Raw genomic sequence first — 22,350 nt, forward strand, 5'->3', positions numbered from 1 at the left:
GGAGTTCGAAACCAGCCTGGTCAACATAGTGAAACCCTGTCTCTACTAAAAATACAAACATTAGCTGGGTATGGTGGTGTGCACCTGTAATCCCAGCTACTCTGGAGGCTGAGGCAGGAGGCAGAGGTTGCGGTGAGCTGAGATTGCGCCACTGCACTCCAGTCTGGGCAACAGAGTGAGACCCTGTCTCAAAAACAAAAACAAACAAACAAAAAAGAATGATCTAAATATTTTTAGATAATCATAAAGACTATGTTAGATTAATACAATTATTTAAAGAAGATGATTATGGTCTCTGTTTAATACCAGCATAGGTGTAAACCTTGTCAGTGAATATTACATAATTGATACCTCTCAAAAACATTTGTCAGATAAATGTTTCCACATCATTACCATTGTTAAAAGAGAAACTAAGGCACAGTAAAATCTTAAAATGTTTATTTGAGCAGACAGTGATTCATGAATCAGTTTGGGACTCTGTTAAAGGCGCACCAAAGAAAGGCTTTTATAGGGTGAATGTGGAAGCATGGCAAATAAAATACACTGAGTTGGGTTTTGGTTTGCTTCTGTAGGAACCCAGGGTGCTGGAGCAGCCTCAGTCTAATGGCCTCTCTATTAATTATTTTAACATCATAAAATAATGTATATCATGTTGCAAAATAAAGCTTTTAGAAGGTTTCCAAATACAATAAAAACCAAATTATTAGGGTACATAGAATTCTATTTGTGGGTTAGAGTCTATTTTTATTTTTACTATTTATTTATTTTTGAGATAGGGTCCTGCTCTGTTGCCTAGGCTGGAGTGCAGTGGCACAATCATGGCTCACTGCAACCTCCCTGTCCAGGCCTCAAGCGATCCTCCCACCTCAGCCTCCAGAGTAGCTGAGACCACAGGTTCATGCTACCATGCCCAGCTTATCTTAGTATTTTTTGTAGAGATGGCATTTTGCCTAGGTTGATCTTGAACTCTTGACCTTAAGTGATCCTCCCACCTCAGCCTACAGAAGTGCTGAGATCAGAGGTGTGAGCTACCACACCTGGCTAGAATCTATTTTTATATTGTATATTTATACTTATGTATTTTTTATTTTAAACAATATTTTATAGTATAAATAAATAAAAATATTTTATTTTATAAAGTGGTGCATGCTCCTAATCCCAGCTTCATTAAGGAGACTGAGATGGGAGGAACACTTGAGCCCAGGAGTTTGAGACCAGCCAGAGCAACATAGCCAGAGACCCTGTCTCTAAAAGCAAAAAAGAAAAAAAAAGCCCTTTTCCAAGTTATTACACACTCTGAATAATTAATATTGAAAACTGTTGGCCGGGCGCGGTGGCTCACGCCTGTAATCCCAGCACTTTGGGAGGCCGAGGCGGGGCGGATCACGAGATCAGCAGAACGGCGTGAACCCGGAAGGCGGAGCTTGCAGTGAGCTGAGATCGGGCCACTGCACTCCAGCCTGGGCGACAGAGCGAGACTCCGTCTCAAAAAAAAAAAAAAGAAAGAAAGAAAACTGCTACAGAAACTTTCACCTTGTGAATGCGTAAGGGTTTACTAAATCCTGCCTATTCCATTGTTCTTATAAAAATAGAGCCATAGACATTTTAGTTTATACCTGGAAAATATTTTCAGTACTTTGAATTGGTTCTCTAGTATAGATTTCCAGGCATGGAATTATTTACTCAAACTGCGTGAACATTTTAGTCTTTGAATATAAATTGACAAATTATTTTCTTTTTTTATTTTTTGAGACGGAGTCTTGCTCTGTTGCCCAGGCTGGAGTGCAGTGGCACAATCTCTGCTCACTGCAACCTCTGCCTCCCAGGACTGATTTACATAATCAGTCCTTATGGAAATAATAAACTTGTTTCAAGTTTATTATAAACAAAAATGAATCTAGGAATTATGTTAATTTATAAGCATCTAATGAGCTGTATTATAATGTAGAGTTATCCAAGACTCAATTTTATGCAAGTTAAAATAATAAATGAAGGGTAGCAAATTAGAGAGCCTATAACTTTTGAGCATATATTCTATTGCTGCTTCAGCAAAGTACCACAAACCTAATTAGTGGCTTAAAACAAGATACATTTATTAATTTAGAGTTCTGGAGGTTAGAAGTCTAAAATTGTTTTCATGTCTGAGTTTCTTCTGGAGGCTGTAGAAGAGAATCAGTTTCCATGACTTTTCCAGCTTCTATAGGCTTTCTGCATTCCTTGGCTCATGGCCCTGGCATCCCTCTGACATCTATTATACTGGCATATTTTCTTTGTCTTGGACACTCCAGCGTCCCTCTTATAAAGACCCCTCTGATTACATTGGACCTAGAGGATAATCCAGCATAATCTTCCCATAGTAAGATTATCCTGGATAATTTAATCACATTGGCAAAATCCCTTTTGCTCTGTAAAGTAACATATTCACAGGTTTTGGGGATTAGGACATGGACATCTTTTATTCTACCTACCAGGAAACATAGATCTAAATTTGTTTAGAAATGGAGAACCTCGAGCCTCACCTCAGACTAAATGAATCATGAACTGTATTTTAACAAGATCCCTATGTGATTCTATGAACACTTAAAATTTGAGAAGTACTATCTTTGTTTTTTATTTTTTTTTGAGACAGAGTTTTGCTCTGTTGCCCCCAGGCTGGAGTGCAATGGTGCAGTCTCGGCTCACTGCAACCTCTGCCTCCCGGGTTCAAACCATTCTCCTGCCTCAGCCTTCCGAGCAGCTAGGATTACAGGCATGTGCCACCACGCCCAGCTAATTTTTGTATTTTGGGTAGAGACGGAGTTTCTCCATGTTGATCAGGCTGGCCTCGAACTCCCGACCTCAGGTGATCCGCCTGCCTCAGCCTCCCAAAGTGCTGGGATTACAGGTGTGAGCCACCTCTCCAAGCCTGAGAAGTACTATCTTTCAATAAAATCAGAAGATACAGTTAAGCAAAAAGAAAATAAAGCATGGTCACAATACCCATCCAACTAGTGATAAACCCTCCTAGCATTTTGGCATTTATTTATTTCCAAAAGTGGGACATTCTGAACATAATGTTTTGCAACCCTCTTTTTTCACAATGCATTGTGCATGTGTAAACATGTCAACAAATACACTTCAAGATAATTTTATTTTGTTTAATTAATTAATTAATATATATTTTTTTGAGACAGAGTCTCCCTCTGCCGCCCAGGCTGGAGTGCAGTGGCACGATCTCGGCTCACTGCAACCTCTGCCTCCTGGGTTCCAGCAATTCTCCTGCCTCAGCCTCCCGAGTAGCTGGGATTACAGGTGCCTGCCACAAAGCCCAGCTAAATTTCTGTATTTTTAGTAGAGATAGGGTTTCACCATGTTGGCCAGGCTGGTCTCGCTCTCCTGACCTCCAGCAATCCACATGCCCCGGCCTCCCAAAGTGCTGGAATTACAGGCATGAGACACTGCGCCCGGCCTATTTATTTTTTCTTGAGATGGAGTCTCGCTCTGTCGCTTAGGCTGGAGTGCAGTGGTGCGAACTCGGCTCACTGCAACCTCCGCCTCCCGGCCTCAAGCGATTCTTCTGTCTCAGTCTCCTGAGTAGCTGGGATTACAAGCGCATGCCACCACGCCAGGCTAATTTTTGTAGTTTCAGTAGAGACAGGGTTTCACCATGTTGGCCAAGCTGGTCTTGAACTCCTGACCTCAGGTGACCTGTCCGTCTTGGTCTCCCAAAGTGCTGTGATTACAGGTGTGAGCCACTGTGCCCGACCTCAACATAATTTTAAATGGTCAATTTGTATTTTATTATGTATGGATGTATTGTGATTTAATCATTTGTGTCATTGGTGGTTGTTTAGGTAATTTTATCTTTTTACTTTAAAAAACAGCCCTTGTGTGATCGACATTCTTGGAATGCAGAGCTTGGTTCAAATCCTAACATGGCCTTTTACTAGCTGTTTGACGTTAGGTGGGCTACTTGACTTCTCTGTGCTTCAGTTTCTTCATCTGTGAAGTGGACATAAAGAAAATACCTACCTCATAAGGGTTGTTCTGAGGATTAAAATAGATAATTCCCATAAAGATCTTAAAACTGTACCTGGAATATTCTAAATTAGCAATAAAGGTTTTCTATTATTAATATTTTTGAACACTCTATTTCCTTACAACTTCTTTTACTATTATTATTATTATTTTGAGACGGAGTTTTGCTCTTATTGCCCAGGCTGGAGTGCAATGGCGCGATCTCGCCTCACTGCAACCTTTGCCCCCAGGGTTCAAGCGATTCTCCTACCTCAGCCTCCCGAGTAGCTGGGATTACAGGGGTGCACCATCATGCCCAGCTAATTTTTTATATTTTTAGTAGAGATGGGGTTTCTCCTTGTTGGTCAAGCTGGTCTCGAACTCCTGACCTAAGGTGATCTGCCCGCCTCGGCCTCCCAAAGTGCTGGGATTACAGGCGTGAGCCACTGTGCCTGGCCTTACTATTATTATTTTTAAGAAATATATAGTTGGTGTGTATTTTTAATTAATTTATTTATTTTGAGACGGAGTCTATTTATTTATTTATTTATTTATTTGTTTATTTATTTTGAGACGGAGTCTCGCTCTGTTGCCCAGGCTGGAGTGCAGTGGAGCAATCTTGGCTCACTGCAACCTCTGCCTCCAGGGTTCAAGCGATTCCCCTGCCTCAGCCTCCTGAGTAGCTGGGATTACAGGCGCCCGCCACCGCGCCAGGCTAATTACTGTATTTTTAGTAGAGACAGGGTTTCATCATGTTGGCCAGGCTGGTCTCGAACTTCGGACTTCGTGGTCCGGCCGCCTCAGCCTCCCAAAGTGCCGGGATTACAGGTGTGAGCTACTGTGCCCACCCCTTATTATTTTTGAAATGGGTGTGTGTGTGTGTGTGTGTGTGTGTGTGTGAACTCTCTATATGTCCCAGGTTGGCTTCGAATTCCTGGGCTCAAGTGATCCTCCTGCCTCCATATCTGGAGTAGCTGGGACTACAGGCGCGCGCCACTGCGCCTGAGTAAGTTCTCTTTTTAAGGATAAGAAAATTTAGGTGACTATGCTAGCTTTTAGCAGAGGCAAGCAGAACTGGATTTATGTCCTTTTACATTTTTCCACTCTTGCTATTACTCAGGAGTAAGCGCCAAGCAATTTGGGTAACTTAAAAAATAAATATTTGCGGGAGGGAGGGTGGACTGATGGGAGTAAGATTCTTTAAATAACTCTTCTCTGCTGTGACGGATCCGCTATTGATATCTAGAATATAAAGCGTGAAATGGTTCTGATTGAAGCTTCAATCAACGCAGGAAACAATTGAGCTCCCTGGGAGTCGGAGAAACCAGACCTATGGTTTCCATGGTGACAGATCCGGCTAGTCCGGACTCCTGGCTCTTTATACTGCGCAAGCGCACTGCGCAAGCGCACACAACTGATTTGGATACCCCGCGCCTTTTGGTTCAAAGACAAAGCCCCTCCTTCCCCTTCCCGCCGTTCGCCTATCGCCTTCTCTCTCTGCCGGTCGCATGCGCGCTGGTCTCCTGTGACGTAGTTTTCGCGCGTCCGCGTCGTTTGGAGCTGCGACGCCAAACATGGCGTGTTCCTAGAAGCCGCTTTCGGCATCAGTAGGCGGCGGCGTGGGGTCTGGCAGCGTGGGGAGAGGGACCAACCGACGCCACTTCGTGTTGGGAAGTGGGAGCGGGAGGGCCGGGCAATTCCCGACCGAACCAAACGGTGAGGCCCCGGCCCGAGAGCCACCGAGCGCGCGGGAGTGGAAGGGAGTGGGTTGGGCACCCGAGTCCCGAGAGGCGGGAGGAAAGTGGGGCTACCAGGAGATGAGGGATAACGGTAGCGAGGCAAGGGCGGCCTGCAGACTTGGCTGTTTGCGCAACCTTAGGAACCCGGGGAACTGGGGGCTGGCCGAGGCAGCCCGGGAGTGGGCAGCATGGTAGTGGAGCAATCAGGGTGCGGGGTGGGAGGGACCGTATGCTAGGCTGAGCAGAGGCGAGTGTACCCATCGTGACCGCGGTTGCGGACCTGGGTGATGCATTTGCCCTTGGGGGATAGGTGGTGCAAATTTTGAGATAAAGTGGTTATCTCGAGTATAAGACCGTTGTGCATTGTTACTGCGCACGCGACCTTGTTGCTAATAGCAATAGTGTGATAGCTTTAAACATTAGACCCTTACATGCTTTTAATGAAAAAGTGAAGGTAGTTGTCCGTTTATAGAGAGGAGCTTCATGGAGAGGTATGGCCGCCAATTCTCAAGCTCAGCGACTCCTGTAGATTTATATTTGGGGGTATTTGTGATTCAGCAAAACTACTTTTGCTTATTACGTGTGTCATTTTTTCTTTATTATTTTGTGACATGTTGGTGAATGAGAGAAGTACTATCTGAAAGTGATTTGACTAAATAGCAAGGACTGGTAAATTACCTACTAGTGCCAAGGTTGCAGTTGACATACCTCCTCCCCTCCATAATTTAAACGAGCTCAGTTGTAGCGCGGTAGTGCCCTTCAGATTTCGGTTATTCTTCAGAAGGAAGAATAGTTTGTAGCCATAATGCTTTTCCCCCTCCTGGGATAGGAATTTTCTTCCTCCATTTTCATGTTATTTCAAACTTCTCTGTTCAGTAGAGGAGCTTCAGATTAAGGGCAGGGTGACTCTTCTATAGGAGACATCCATTGCATGACACATATTACATCTTTCATCACTGAGGAAAATTTCGGTGAAAGTAGAAACATTTTCCCTTTTGGTTATGATGGGACTGGTATTTTCTCTGTTTCTGCAGTAACCTAGCACAGGGTATAGTAGAAACAATTAATTATAGTAGTGGCTTGTGGCCATATATTATAGTCTCAGGGTAGGAGGGTGGTCTCCGCCCTAGTTGAACTTCTAAGGCCAAAGAGAATTTTCACCACAAACACATTTGGCTGTGGTAATGTTAGAGGTTTTAAACAAATATGTAAAGATTATCTGATCATTAATAGAACAATTTTTAGATTTTGTGATGTTTGAATATATTTGCATTTGGAATCAAACCAGAATGCAGCATGATCCTTGTAGGCATGTGGCTATTAAAATACACTGAAGATTTTTCCAGAAACAAAATTTTTTTTTCTCAGCAATAAAAATATTCAAATTTTGGGTAAGGTAATGTTTGATTATTTGGATTTTGACCTTTGTGTTATATATTTGTACCTGTGTGTGTGTATGTATGTAACCTCACTTCTAATTTAGTGTTATTGATGGTAATATTTTTTCCTTTCTTTATCAGCTTCAAATAGGGACTGTTAATTTCAGAGCGTTTAAGGAATGGCAAAACACATTTAGTGCTGGTGTGAGTCTGTAGTGTGTTTGGTTTGCTGACTATCAGACTTATTACAGATAAGTCCACAGTTATAAGCTTTGTAGAGCTTAAGTTGCATCAGTGTTCTTTACCCTTGCTACTCAAATTGTGGTATATAGCATCACCTGGGAGTTTATTAGAAATGCATGATCTCAGGCTCAATCCAGAGCTGCTGAATCAAAATCTGCAATTTTAACAAGTTATCTAGATGAAAGGAATGTTCAATAAATCTTGAGATGCACTACTTTGGTTGGTAACAGTTGAAGAACACTGAGGTAATGCACAAACCGGTATAAAAATTTATAGCATCATTTATTTTAATCTGAGGTGATCTTATGCTGATTATCCAGTCTGATGAAACTGAGGCCCAGAAAGGTAAGTGCCTTGCATAAGGTCACACATACCTAGATTTATAACCCAGATTCCAACTCATTCCAGTGCTTTTCTTTTGCTGGTTACTGTCAGAGCTTGTTATATTAAAAACGGACTAAAATTCATGAATGACAATTAGGTGTTCATTCAATAACAAACGTCTATTGGGTACTGTACAGGCAGCCTAACAATCCTGTGTGTCCCTGCTAACTGCTCCTGTTTATCATGGTGGCTATTAACCCACCACCTTTCCTCTTTATTTTTTTTGAGGCGGGGTCTCACTGTCACCTAGGCTGGAGTGCAGTGGCGTGATCTCTGCTCACTGCATCTTCCGCCTCCCGGGTTCAAGCGGTTCTCCTGCCTCAGCCTCCAGAGTAGCTAGGATTACAGGTGCCTGCCACCAAGCCTGGCTAATTTTTGTATTTTTAGTAGACAGGGTTTCACCATTTTGGCCAGACTGGTCTTGAACTCCTGACCTCCCTGAACTCCACCCACCTTGGCCTCCCAAAGTGCTGGGATTACAGGAGTGAGCCCGGCCCCGTCTTTACTTTTTTTTTTTTTTTTTTTTTGAGATGGAGTTCTGCTCTTTTTGCCCAGGCTGGAGTGCAGTGGCGCGATCTCAATTCACTGCAACCTCCGCCTCCTGGGTTCAAGTGATTCTCCTGCCTCAGCCTCCTGAGTAGCTGGGATTACCGGCATGCACCGCCATGCCCAGCTAATTTTGTATTTTTAGTAGAGACGGGGTTTCTCCATGTTTGTCAGGCTGGTCTCGAACTCTCGACCTCAGGTGATCCCCCTGCCTCAGCCTCCCAAAGTGCTGGGATTACAGGCTTGAGCCACCACGCCCGGCCCCCTCTTTACTCTTTACTGGATAAAGTTCCCTTCTGCTTCATAGAGGAAATGAAATACATTGAGTGGGAACTTCATTGCTTTCTGTTCTGTTTCACCTGCAAACATGAAGACCTCTATCTGTCCATCTCTAATGATATTCTGAGTTTTTTCTCCTTACGGGCAATATTTCCTTCATGTGTTTGCTAGGGCCGCCACAACAAAATACCTTATATTGGGTAGCTTAAACAAGAGAATTTTTTTTCTCACAGTTCTGGAGAGTGGAAGTCTAAGATCAAGGTGCAGATAAGATTGGTTTCCTGTAAGACCTCCATCCTTGGCTTGCAGATGGCCACCTTCTTGCTGCCTTTTCTCGTGGTCATCCTGTGTGTACATGCACCTCTGCTGTATCTTTCTGTTTTCTTTTTTTTTCTTTTCTTTTTTTTTTTTTTTTTGAGACGGAGCCTCGCTCTTGTCTCCCAGGCTGGAGTGCAGTGGCCCGCTCTCAGGTCACTGCAACCTCCGCCTTCCCGGTTCAAGCGATTCTCCTGCCTCAGCCTCCTGAGTAGTTGGGATTACAGGCGCTCACCACCACGCCCGGCTAATTTTTATATTTTTAGTAGAGACGGGTTTCACCATGTTGTCCAGGCTGGTCTCAAACTCCTGACCTCAGGTGATCTGCCCGCCTCAGCCTCCCAAAGTGCTGGGATTACAGGCGTGAGCCACTGCACTGGCCTGCTGTTTCTTTTTCTTATAATGGCATCAGTTATATTGGTTTAGGGCCTTACCCTAACAACCTCATCTTATCTTAATCACCTTAAAAACTTTATCTCCAAATACTGAGGGTTCGGGGGTTAGGGCTTCAACATGAATTTTTAAGGAACACAGTTCAATCCATAACATTCAGTTACTCCTTTTTCAACTAGTACTAACTTAACAAGGATTTAAGCATACCCAAGTCTCTTATTATCTTTTTTTTTTTTTATTTTTTTTTTTTGAGACAGAGTACTCACTCTGTTTCTCAGGCTTGAGTGCAGTGGTGCTATCTTGGCTCACTGCAACTTCTGCCTCCCAGGCTCAAGCGATCCCTCCACCTCAGCCTCTCTGGTGGCTGGGACCACAGGTGAGGCGCAGGCCACCATGCTTGGCTAATTTTTGAATTTTTTTTTGTAGAGATGGGGTTTTGCCACATTGCCCAGGCTTGTCTCAAACTCCTGGGTTCAAGCGATCCACTGGCCTTGGCCTCCTGAAGTGTATTGGAATTATATGGGTGAGCCACCGTGCCTGGCCTCAAATCAAGTCTTATCTGAAATATACGCTCCTTACCTTAGATTCTTAGATTCCTCTTCAGCTTTATCTATAATTATTTTTCTTAGTTTTTTTTTTTCTCCTTTTTTTAAGAGACAAGGTCTCTTGTTACCTAGGCTGGCCTCAAACTTCAGGGCTCAAGTGATCCTGCCACTTCAATCTCATGAGTAGCTGGTACTACTTGTGTGTGCCACCATGCCCAGCTTATTTCCTTTAAGTTTCTTGAAAGAATTCTCTATATTCATTTTCTTCACCTCCTTATTGGTTAATTTTTTTTTTTTTTTTTTTTTTTTTTGGTATTTTGAAGGCTGACAGTCCATAGCAGTCACTGAATTTGATGTAGTGGTGATCACCATTGATATCTTTGTTGCTAAATCTAATGGAATCTGTTTAATCATTTGCCATTTTAACTACTTGTTCGTTCTTGAAATTTTCTTCTTATACTTCTGGGACACCATATTTTCCTTATTTCCTTCTTAGGTTTTAGCCAGTCTTTTGTTGGTTATTTTTCTCTTTTCTCTGACCACTTTAGATGTTTGACTCTGAGGCACTACCCTGCTCTCTTCTGAAAACCTTCAGATAAAAATCCAAACTACGTAGTTTAGGAAATAAGGACTTCAATGCACACTCTTCATGAATGGTCTCATTTGTGACTTCAACTATTGCCTCTATTTTGATGACTCCCAAATCTGGCTTTTTAGCACAGGTCTCTCTTCAACGCTGACATATGTAGTTGTCTTAAAATACTTGACATTCATGTCAAAAACGTTGTGTATTTCAACCTTCCTGACATTGTTTTCCTCCTATGAGCCATGCAGGCACCAATCAGTTGGAAAAGCCCAAAATCTTAATTCTTTCCCCTTATTAACTTATGTGTAACCCCTCCTCCAACTCTCCAACTATCTAATTATTTTATTTCCAACTCTCCAACTAGCCATTATTTATTTATTTATTTCTGAGACAGAATTTCACTCGTAGCCCAGGCTAAAGTGCAATGGTGCAATCTCGTCTCACCGCAACCTCTGCCTCCCAAGTTCGAGTGATTCTCCTGCTGCAGCTTTCCGAGTAGCTGGGATTACAGGCATGCACTACCATGCCCACGCCTGCCTAGTTTTTTTTTTTTTTTCTTTGAGAGAGAGTTTCACTCTTATTGACCAAGCTGGAGTGCAGTGGCACCATCTCGGCTCACTGCGACCTCCGCCTTCTGGGTTCAAGTGATTCTTCTGCCTCAGCCTCCTGAGTAGCTGGGATTACAGACGTGCGCCACCATGCCTGGCTAATTTTGTATTTTTAGTAGAGTATGTTGGTCAGGCTGATCTCAAACTCCTGACCTCAGGTGATCCACCTGCCTCGGCCTTCTAAAGTATTGGGATTACAGGCATGAGCCACTGCACCCAGCCAACACATATCATATAGTTTAAAATGTAAGTGTTTCCAGTACAGTAAGCTATTAACAGTATAGTGCTATGAACAGCATTCATATAGTTAATAGCATTATGCAGAAAAATTAAGGATATCGGGAACATAGAGATTCTTGGTTGAGGAGTGAGCCCTTTTAGATTGGCAGTTAGTGGAGACCTCTTTAAATAGAGGACAACTTGAGCAGAATGGAATGCTGTCAAAGAGCAAGACATGCTTTTATCTAGAGACCAGAGCTTTCCAGCCAGAGGGAACAAATTGTACAAGGGATAAGATACATTTTATACATATTTCACTAAAGATGTTCACGTATTGTCTCCAAGTCTCTGTTAATATAGATAACTAGGTCATGCAGACAACCTAGTCCTTTGTCTCCTTATTCTTATATGCCTGTGCAGGGGTTTCTGTGATTATAGCACCAGGTGTGAAACTGCTGGGTCATAGAAGATACAGTCACGAGTTGCTTAAGGCTGGGATACATCCTGAGAAATGGGTCGTTAGGCAATTTTGTTGTTCTATGAACATCATATGAACAAACCTAGATGGTACAGCCTATTATACACTTGGGCTATGTGGTATATAGCTTATTGTATCTAGGCTATAAGCCTGTACAGCATGTTACTGCACTGAATACTGTAAGCAGTTGTCACAAAATGGTAAGTATTTGTGTGTTTAAACATGTCTAAACTTAGAAAGGTACTGTAAAAATACAGTGTAGAAGTAAAAAATGGTACATCTGTACAGGGCACTTACCTCGAATGGAGCTTGGAGGACTGGAAATTGGTTTGGATGAATCAGTGAGTGAGTGGTGAGTGAAAGTGAAGGCCTAGGGCATTATTGTACACTTAGGCTAAAATAAATTTATTAAGAAATTTTTTTCTTCAATAATCTTAGCTTATTGTAACTTTTAGTTTATAAACTTTTTGTCTCTGTTGCAGTAACACTTAGCTTAAAACACAAATACATTGTGTAGTTCTACGTTGTTTAAAACAGACGCAAACACACACATTAACTCAGGTACACACAAGGTCAGGATCATCAATATCTCTGTCTTCCACCTCCACATCTTGTCTCACTGGAAGGTCTTCGGGGGCAATAACATTCATGGAGCTGTCATCTTCTATGATAGCAATGACTTCTTCTGAATTATCTCCTGAAGGACCTGTCTGAGGCTGTTTTACAGTTAACTTTTTTTTTTAATAGGAGTAGTACATTGTAAAATTATGATAAGAAGTATAGTAGTGGGGCTTGGTGGCTCACTTCTGTAATCCCAGGGTTTAGGGAAGCTGAGGTGGGAGGATTGCTTGAGGTCTGGGGTTTGAAATCAGCCAGGGCAACATAGCCAGACCCCATCTCTACAAAAAGTAAAAAAATTAGCATGGCATGATGGCTCATCCCTGTAGTCCCAAGTCTCAACTATTCAGGAGGCTGAGGTGGAATGACTGCTTGAGCCCAAGAGTTCAACGTTGTAGTGAATTATGATGCCGGCATTGCTCTCTACCTCAGGTGACAGAGATCGTAACTCTTAAAAAAAGTAGGCTGGGCGTGGTGGCTCACGCCTGTAATCTTAGCACTTCGGGAGGCCAAGGCGGGTGGATCACGGGGTCAGGAGATTGAGACCAGCCTGGCCAACATGGTGATACCCTGTTTCTACTAAAAAAATACAAAAATTAGCCAGGCGTGGTGGCACACACCTGTAATCCCAGCTACTTGGGAGGCTGAGGCAGGAGAATTGCTTGAACCCGGGCGATGGAGGTTTCAGTGAGCCAAGATCGTACCACTGCACTCCAGCCTGGGCAACAAGAGTGAAGCTCCGTCTCAAAAAAAAAAAAAAAAAAAGTATAATGTAGTAAATGCATAAACCAGTAACATAGTTGCTTATTATCACTTTCAAGTGTTATGTACTGTACCTAATTGTATGTGCTCTGCTTTTATACAAATGGCAGTGCAGTAGGTTAGTTTACACCAGCATCACCACTAACGTGTGAGTAATGTGATTTACTACGACTTAGGATGGCTATGATGTCACTATGTGATAGGAATTTTAAAGCTCCATTAAAATCTTACGGGATCACTGTCGTATATATGTGGTCCATATCTGACTGAAACTTTTTTTTTTTTTTTTTGAGACAGGGTCTCACTCTGTCACCCAGGCTGGAGTGCAGTGGCACGATCGTGGCTCACTGCAGCCTTGACCTCCTGGGCTCAGGTGATTCTCCCATCTCAGCCTCCTGAGTAGCTGGGACTACAGGTGTGCCCCACCATGCCCAGCTAACTTTTTGTTTTTTTAGTAGTGATGGGGTTTCTCCATGTTGCCCAGGCTGGTCTTGAACTCCTGCACTCTAAGTGATCCACCCGCCTCAGCCTTCCAAAGTGTTGGATTACAGGCGTGAGCCGCCATTTTTATGTGGTGTGTGACCCTCTGTGTGTCCTGGTCATAGAATACACAAAATATATACTCAATTTCATTAGAGACAGCTAGATAGCTCTCCAAAGTTGTATTAATAGATATTCCCAGTAGCAGTGTTTAAGAGTTTCTGTTTCCATGCATTCTTGCCAGCATTGAATATTTTTGGACTTTGTAATTTTTGCTAGTCTGATCATAAAGTAGTTTTTCACTGTTTGGATTTTAAATCCCTGATAACCAGTGAGATAGCATCTCTTCTGATATTAATTAAACATTTAGCTCTTCTTTTCTATATATTTTCTGCTTACACCCTTTGTTCACTTTTCTTATATATTTGTCTTGTTGATTCACAAGGGTTCCTTGTATATTCTGTATAATACACCTTTGTTTTAGTTATGTATTAATAACATTTCTTCTCTTAATCTTCACCTTGTTAACCTTGTGTAGGGTATCTTCAATGACTCCATCAATTTCAGTCTTCAGTTCTGATGTAGTATAATTCATTAGGCAGATAGGCTGTGAACTTGATGTATTTTTGTTCTTTCTCAAGTCTAAAGCTAAAAATTCCCAGTTAATTTCACTTGAGATATTAATGGACAGCACTGAACAAAAGTAAAAGTGTTTAATCTTTCGGGAGTACTGGGTGGGGACAGGAGACTTACATTTAAAGTTCTAGAAATGTCACTAATGAGCCTGTGACCTTAGAGAAGTCAGTTTATCTCCTTATCTTTTGGCCACAGTGTCTTGGTCAGTAAAACAAAATACTTAAACTGTGTAGAGAACTGATATGGGTGGCTCCAAGGTGATAGGAAAATTATATTTATTTACTTGTTAACTTATATGGACTCACAACTGAGAGAAAAATTATTTTAATGATAAAATGTAGAATAGTGATTAACTGTGGGATTATTACTTGGCATACAGCACATGCATGTTTGAACAAATGGGTTTTTATAAATACAATGACAGGCTGAGCTCTTTATAGCAAGAATGAGATTCTTATAAGATACAGCTTTATAGACAGTGATGTCTTCAACCAGTAAATGGAAACTACCAATCGAAGATGTCTATATTTGGAGAGAGGACTGATGATCTCTTACACTCAGCAAAAAGTTTTGCCTAACTGCTAGTTATAAATTATAGTCTGTTAAATTTAATCTAGGCTGTGTTGTTATCTCTATTCAGTGCCTTAATCAAAATCAGTTTTATAGCTTTTCCTTCCTATTTTTTTTCATATCCAAGAAGGAACTTTATTTATTTATTTTTTGAGATGGAATCTTGCTTGTTGCCCAGGCTGGAGTGCAGTGACACCATCTTGGCTCACTGCAACCTCCACCTCCTGGGTTCAAGCAGTTCTCCTGCCTCAGCCTCCCTAGTAGCTGGGATTATAGGTGCCCACCACCATGCTCAGCTAATTTTTGTGTTTTTAGTAGAAATGGGGTTTCACCATGTTGGCCAGGCTGGTCTCAAACTCCTGACCTCAGGTGATCTGCCTGCCTCGGCCTCCAAAAGTGCTGGGATTACAGGTGTGAGCCACTGCCCAGCCAGAGAAGGACCTTTAAAAGCAATAAGCATAACTGCTGTTCCTTAGTGGGTTTTGTACAGACATGTATTTTTGTTTTTCAGCTAAGGAGACACCAGAGGGTGATGGTTGACAGTAGTTGGTACCTCACAGCTGGGCACTGATCAGGTAGGGGGTGTCAATATTGTTTAGGATAATGTATAACTTTTCTTATTAGGGGGAGATTAGTCACGGGGAACTCTTGTATATACCAAACAGGCAAGAGACTTATTGCAGTTTATCAGTGCCATTTTACTAAAAACTCCCGGTGAGACAGAAATACTCAAGTTTTTCGGACAGGTCTTCCTCTCACAGGTCTGCCTCCCCTGTCTATTGTCTTCTTACATACTTTATACTTCACCCATTTATTATTTGTTTCCCATTTATTTGTCTCCCCACTATAAAATATGCTTCACAAGTCTTGGATTTTTTTTTGTCTTTTTAGTTAATCGATGTATCTCAAGTGCCTAGACTAGTGTCTGGCATTTGCAGGTGTTCAGTATATATTTATTGAATTAATAAATATGGAAAAGCCTAATGATAAAGCAAGAAAATATCAGAAAGGGGATTGGAGAGCGCAGGATTAGAAAAAAGGGTGTTAGATATTCCCAGTGAAAAGTATTATTAAATTTTGTTGGCTTGATATGCTCCATTTCAGTATAGGAAGATACTGAATGGACTGTTCATACATTCATTCATTTTTTTCAGCCATTCAGCACACTATTTACTCTTGCAGTGTTTTTTGTAGATATTTCTGTCTTTACTCTGATAAAATTTGTATTCCATATTGTTGTTCTTGGACCTCTGTCTCTTACCTTTTCTGTCTTCTGTCTGAGAAATCATAATTTCTGTTACTGTTTAGTTGATCATACATTTACTGAACATCCTTCACACTGTGCTAGGTAATGGCATTTATAGATGAGTAAAACATCATTCTTTCCTTTAAACAGTTCATGATTTGGAGATGAGATAGAAGTAAACAAGGAAGTAAGTACAGCAATAGAAGTGTGTACTATGCAGAACAGTAGCATGGAGGAAGGAGCGCTTTACTGTCTACAGCAGTTAAAGATTTCCTCAGGAGGTGATGTCTACCATGAACAGCAACTTTAGTGATCTCTGTGTCCGTTAGCGGCCATTTTAAAAAGCATACATAAAAGTAGACAGAATTTTATGATGAACCCCCATCTAGCCATCATCCAGCTTTAACAATTATCAACTTCATTTCGTCTTACCTCCCACATACTTCTCTAGTTACATTGATAGAAGATCTAGAAGCTTGGTCAGATTCAGGTTTGTTTGTTTGTTTTTTTGGCAAGCAGCCCTTAAGATTTTGGTTTCTCAAAATAATAAACTTCATTTCTTTAAGTTTTCTAATATACTCACTTTTCTATTTTGATTATTGTAGAACTCTTCCCCGGTCTTCACAGAAATTAATTTCTTTCTTGTCTTTGGCATATTGTATTTCTCTAGTTTGCTTTTGACTCTGGGCAGTTTAACAGTTTGCTTGTATTTCCTATCCATGATTCCCCAGTGATATATTTTCTGCCTCTTGTTCTTCTCTTTGTAGACTTGGGCTATAGATCATGATTTTTTTTCTGAGACATGGTCTCACTCTGTTGCCCAGACTGGAGTGCAGTGGTGTGAATATGGCTCACTGCAGCCTCAACCTCCTGGGCTCAAGTCATCCTCCCACCTCAGCTTTTTTTTTTTTGTTTTTTGAGATGGAGTCTTGCTCTGTCGCTCAGGCTGGAGTGCAGTGGCGCAATCCGAGCTCACTGCAAGCTCCGCCTCCCGGGTTCACGCCATTCTCCTGCCTCAGCCTCCCGAGTAGCTGGGACTACAGGTGCCCGCCACCACGCCCGGCTAATTTTTTGTATTTTTGGTAGAGACGGGGTTTCACCATGTTAGCCAAGATGGTCTCGATCTTGTGACCTCGTGATCCGCCCGCCGGGGCCTCCCAAAGTGCTGGGATTACGGGTGTGAGCCATCGCGCCTGGCTCAGCTTCTTTTTGAGAAGAAGTCTCTCTCTGTTGCCCAGGCTGGAGTGCAATGGCGTGATCTTGGCTCACTGCAACCTCTGCCTCTGCCACCTCAGCTTCTTGAGTAGCTGGGACCATAGGTGCATGCCACCACACCTGGCTAAGGTTTTTTTTTTTTTTTTAATTTTTATTTTTTGTAGAGATGGGGTCTTGCCATGTTGCCCGGACTGCCAGGCTGGTGTTGAACTCCTAGGCTCAAGCAGTTCTCCTGCTTCTGCCTCCCAAATTGGTGGGATTACAGACGTGAGCCACCACACCCAATCTGAATATTTGTTCTTATCTTAAATGTGGAATTATTGTAGTGAATCAGTAGGTGATTTTATTCCTTTACTCCTGTCACTCTTGTCTGTTCTTGTTCCATGGTTTCTCAGTCTCCTTTATGCTAGACATTGCCTTTATTATTATATTTTTAAAAATTACTTCATATTTACCTTGAGTAGAACTCAAAAACACATTCATGTCTTTACCTCAAATTTTCTTTTGGTAGAGTGATGCAATATCTAACTATAGAAGTAGAAGCAGTGCTGTAAGGAAGTTCTTAGGTGTCATATTTTGCCTCAAGGTGAGGTTTTTGTTTTTGTTTTGAATCTCATCTTTCTCGCATTGCATTACTCTCTAGGCTCCCATTCATTTCTTTCTCTCAGGAGCTCAGCATTCTTTGCTCTATCCTCCTAAACCCTGTAATCCCTGTTACATTTCCAGATGGTTGTCTTGCTCAGATGGTCATTGAGAATTCTAAAGTTCCTCGCTTCCTCCAACCCTCCTTGGGGGGAAAGGAACATACTCTTTGGAATGTGGTACTTCTTACCATCAGGTGGCACTGCAGACTATTCAATTTATTTTATTTTATTTTTTCAAGACGGAGTTTTGCTGTTGTTGCCCAGGCTGAAGTACAATGGTGCAATCTCGGCTCACTGCAACCTCCGCCTCCTGGGTTCAGGCGATTCTCCTGCCTCAGCCTCCCGAGTAGCTGGGATTACAGGCGAGCGCCACCATGCCTGGCTAATTTTTGCATTTTTAGTAGAGACAGGGTTTCACCATGTTGTTCAGGCTGGTCTCAAACTCCTGACCTCAGGTGATCCACCCGCCCCGGCCTCCTAAAGTGCTGGGATTATAGGCGTGAGCCACCACGCCTGGCCAATTCAAATTATTTTTACAGCTTTAGGAATGATAGAAACAATAGTACATTATCCGGTAAAGAAAGAAGCAAGTTGATGTGGGAACTGGTATGGAGAAGACTTAGAAATGAAAGTAAAGATACGATTGCTAACAAATACAAATGTATTTTCCTTTTATGTGATACAAGTGTACACAATATATAGAAGTGTATATAATAGGTGGAGCCTAATGGAAAGTAAATAATACATTAGACTGTTTTGGTTAGTTTGATTTTTCCAAGACTGTTTAAGTATTTTAAACTATCGTCTTTATAAACACCAAATAGTAAGAACATTAAGTACCTAATAGACATGACTATTTGGAGCTATACTGCTATTTGAGAATAAACAAAACATAAAACCCCTGCTGTTTGATTATAAGACTCAGAGTCCCCTGGGTGAGGAGAATTGACTCTTGGTAAACACTGCCTTCACAAATCCAGATAATATGACAAAATTGTTGCTTACCGGCTGGTCGTGGTGGCTCACGTCTGTAATCCCAGCACTTTGGGAGGCCAAGGCGGGTGGATCACCTGAGGTCAGGAGTTCAAGACCAGCCTACCCAACATGGTGAAACCCAGTTTCTACTAAAAACACAAAAATTAGCTGGGCATGGTGGCGGGTACCTGTAATCCCAGCTACTTGGGAGGCTGAGGCAGGAGATTTGCTTGAACCCGGGAGGTGGAGCTTGCAGTGAGCTCAGATTGTGCCATAGTCTTCCAGCCTGGGCAACAAGAGTGAGACTCTGTCTCAAAACAGACAAACAAACAAACTATTGCTTACCTACTTGTGCTACTGAAGACTAGGTTTGTAAACTTCCTCTCCTGAAATTTCATGAGAGTGCAGTTATTGACTACATTACCTACTTGATATGTGCTTAACAAGAGAAATACGTAATGATTTGCAGCTGTTTGAGAAGTTGGGATGTTTTTGGAGAAAGGAAGAGAAATAAAGCAAATATCTAATTCCTATGGAAATTTAAGCAGATGTAAAATGAAAACTCTTGGCCTTAAAAAATGTATTTTTTCATTATTAAAGTGTGTTGACTATAAGAATGATAACCCCTGGAGCTTTCTTAACACAACTATTGTTTATAATTTGATGTGTTTACTGCTTGTCTTTTTGTAGGTGTTTTTATTTTGTATAGTATTATATATATATTTTATATTTTAATTTTTATTTTTTTATATATATTTCTCTAGTTACAAAACAGACTAAGAGAGAATATTTTTAAGTTATGATTGGTTTAGGCAGGTTTAAACTTGTAGTTCAAAATGCACTTCTTTTTTCTTTCTGTTTTTTTTTTTTTTTTTTTTTTTGATACGGAGTTTTGCTCTTGATGCCCAGGCTGGAGTGCAATGGCGCGATCTCGGCTCCCTGCAATTTCTGCCTCCTGGTTTCAAGCGATTCTCCTGCCTTAGCCTCCCGAGTAGCTGGGATTACAGGCGCCCGCCACCACACCTGGCTCATTTTTTTGTATTTTTAGTAGAGACAGAGTTCCACCACATTGACCAGGCTGGTCTCGAGCTCCTTACCTCAGGTGATCCACCTGCCTCGGCATCCCAAAGTGCTGGGATTACACACGTGAGCCACCGTGCCCTCCAGATGCATTTCTAACAAGCAGGAGTTTGCAGGTTTTTTGAAAACTCCAAGCAGAAGTTTGTAGGTCCTTTGAAACTCTTGAGTAGATTTGATGTTTTAGGAGTAGGGAAGAGAAAGCAAGCAAATAGCTTCTCTCCTTGATGTCACATATATTTTGTTGTGCATTTTTTCCTCCCAAACAAACCAGTTTTTGACAGTCTGCATGAAGTGTCATAGGGCAGGTGTCCCCAGCCCTCAGGCCATGGACCAGTATCAGTCAGTCCGTGGCCTGCTAGGAACTGGGCCACACTGCAGGAGGTGAGCAGTGGGTGGAGAGTGAGCATTACTACCTGAGGTCCACCTCCTGTCAGATCAGCAGCAGCATTAGATCCTCATAAAAGCACAAACCCTGTTGTGAACTGCACATGCAAAGGATCTAGGTTGCATACTCCTTATGAGAATCTCACTAATGCCTGATGATCTGTGGTGGAACAGTTTCATCCAGAAACCATCCCCCCCTGCCCTTTACCCCTCTTCCACTGCCCTGCCCCATCTGTGGAAAAATTGTCTTCCATGAAACCAGTCCCTGGTACCAAAAAGGTTGGGGGCTGGTGTCATAGGGAATACATCAGTAGCCCTGGTGGTTCTTTTAGCTGAAGGTATTTGGGAAATATATGGAAGCATCTTTAGTCAATCTGTTTGAGGTATTAATAACGTATAGTGTGCAGGGACAGATATGCTAAACAACCTGTAATGCATGCACAGAAAAGAATTTTCTTGTCCAAACTGCCAGACTTCTGCTGAGAAACTGAAATGAATCCAGATGTTGCAGTACTCATTTGAATCCAGATGTTGTAGTACACACTAGTATCTTTGGAACCTTCTTGTCTTATGCCAGAAGTCTTACATTCTTTCACCTTGCTTTAATTTCTTGATCTTTTTGGCCCTGAGTTAACATCAATTGTTGTTGAAACCGTAGACACTTTTTTTTTTTAAAGAGACATGGTGTCATTATGTTACCGAGGCTGATCTTGAACTCCTGAGCTCAAGTGATCCTTCCATCTTGGCCTCCTAAAGTGCTGAGATTCAGGTGTGAGCCACCATGCCTGGCCTATATAAGTCACATTTTATTTATTTATTTTTTTGAGGCGGAGTCTCACTGTGTCGCCCAGGCTGGAGTGCCGTGGTGCGATCTCAGCTCACTGCAACCTCCGCCTCCCGGGTTCATGGGATTCTCCTGTCTCAGCATCCTGAGTAGCTAGGATTACAGATGCACGCCACTACACCTGGCTAATTTTTGTATTTTTAGTAGAGACGGAGTTTCACCATGTTGGTCAGGCTGGTCTTGAACTCCTGACGTCGTGATCCACCCACCTCAGCCTCCCAAAGTGCTGGGATTACAAGCGTGAGCCCCCGCGCCTGGCTATAAGTCACATTAAAAAAAGATTGAAAACATTTTTTTTTTAGAGACAGGGTCTCACTTTGTCGCCTGGGCTAGAGTGCAGTGGCACAGTCTTAGCTCACTGCAAGTCAGACTCCTGGGCTCCTCCACACTCAGCCTCCTGAGTAGCTAGCTGGGACTACAGGTGTGTGCCACTACTCCTGGCTAAACTTTTTGTTTTTTATTTTTTGTAGAGTTGAGGTCTCACTATGCTTCCCTGGCTGGCCTCGAACTCCTGGACTGAAGCTGTCCTCCTGCCTAAACCTCCCAAAGTGCCGAGATTACGCTTGCGCCACTGCACATGGCCATCTCTTGTGGATTTTGACATTTACATAATCAAAGCACTTAAAAAAACCAGCTTTATTAAGCTATAATTTACAGTCCGTGTAATTCACGCACTGAAAAGGGTATACAATTCAGTAGTTTTTAGTATATTCACAGAGTTGTGCAACCATCATTACAGTCAGTTTTAGAACATTTTCATCGTTCCAAATAGCAGTTGCTCCACATTTCCCCCCAATTCCCCAGCCTAGGGAACCACTTAATCTACTTCTTTGTGTTATAAATTTGCCTGTTCTTCATATTTCATATAAATGGGAATCATGCAGCTTGTGGTTTTATGTGACTGGCTTCTTCTGCTTAGTGTGATGTTTTCAAGGCTCATTCATGTTTTAGTATGTTACAGGATTTCATTCCTTTTTAGGTGAAATAATACTTCATTGTATGGAAATACCACATTTTATTTTATTTATTTTAATTTAATTTAATTTTCGTTTTTGAGACAGAGTCTCACTGTGTGGCCCAGGCTGGAGTGTAGTGGCGTGATCTTGGCTCACTGCAACCTCCGCCTCCTGGGTTCCAGTGATTCTCATGCCTTAGCCTCCCGAGTAACGAATTACAGGCGCACACC

The 22,350-nt window shown here is 42.0% G+C and overlaps 1 protein-coding gene across 2 annotated transcripts in view, besides 2 other annotated features; it reads left to right on the plus strand.

The window, feature by feature from the left end:
- Positions 5,467–5,656: an enhancer, noted in NCBI's record as "active region_22597". NCBI's record gives its function as "activates an Ori minimal core promoter by ATAC-STARR-seq in GM12878 lymphoblastoid cells {active_cell/tissue: GM12878}" and the evidence as "EXISTENCE:reporter gene assay evidence [ECO:0000049][PMID:35858748]".
- Positions 5,546–22,350, plus strand: part of IPO11 (importin 11) — a 215,820-nt gene continuing 199,015 nt past the window's right edge. Inside the window, exon 1 of one of the 2 annotated variants that reach the window (NM_016338.5) lies at positions 5,546–5,712. Coding sequence is in view for 1 of the 2 variants with exons in the window: in NM_001134779.2 (NP_001128251.1) it covers positions 11,797–11,910 (114 nt within the window). In the remaining variant the exon portion in view is untranslated. Of the gene's footprint in view, positions 5,713–11,666; positions 11,911–22,350 lie in introns of those variants that run through there. The other variant, NM_001134779.2, reaches the window with a different exon arrangement.
- Positions 5,987–6,036: a silencer, noted in NCBI's record as "silent region_16052". NCBI's record gives its function as "represses an Ori minimal core promoter by ATAC-STARR-seq in GM12878 lymphoblastoid cells {active_cell/tissue: GM12878}" and the evidence as "EXISTENCE:reporter gene assay evidence [ECO:0000049][PMID:35858748]".

The sequence above is a fragment of the Homo sapiens genome, chromosome 5, assembly GCF_000001405.40.
Source record: "Homo sapiens chromosome 5, GRCh38.p14 Primary Assembly".
NCBI classification, from domain to species: Eukaryota; Metazoa; Chordata; class Mammalia; order Primates; family Hominidae; genus Homo; species Homo sapiens.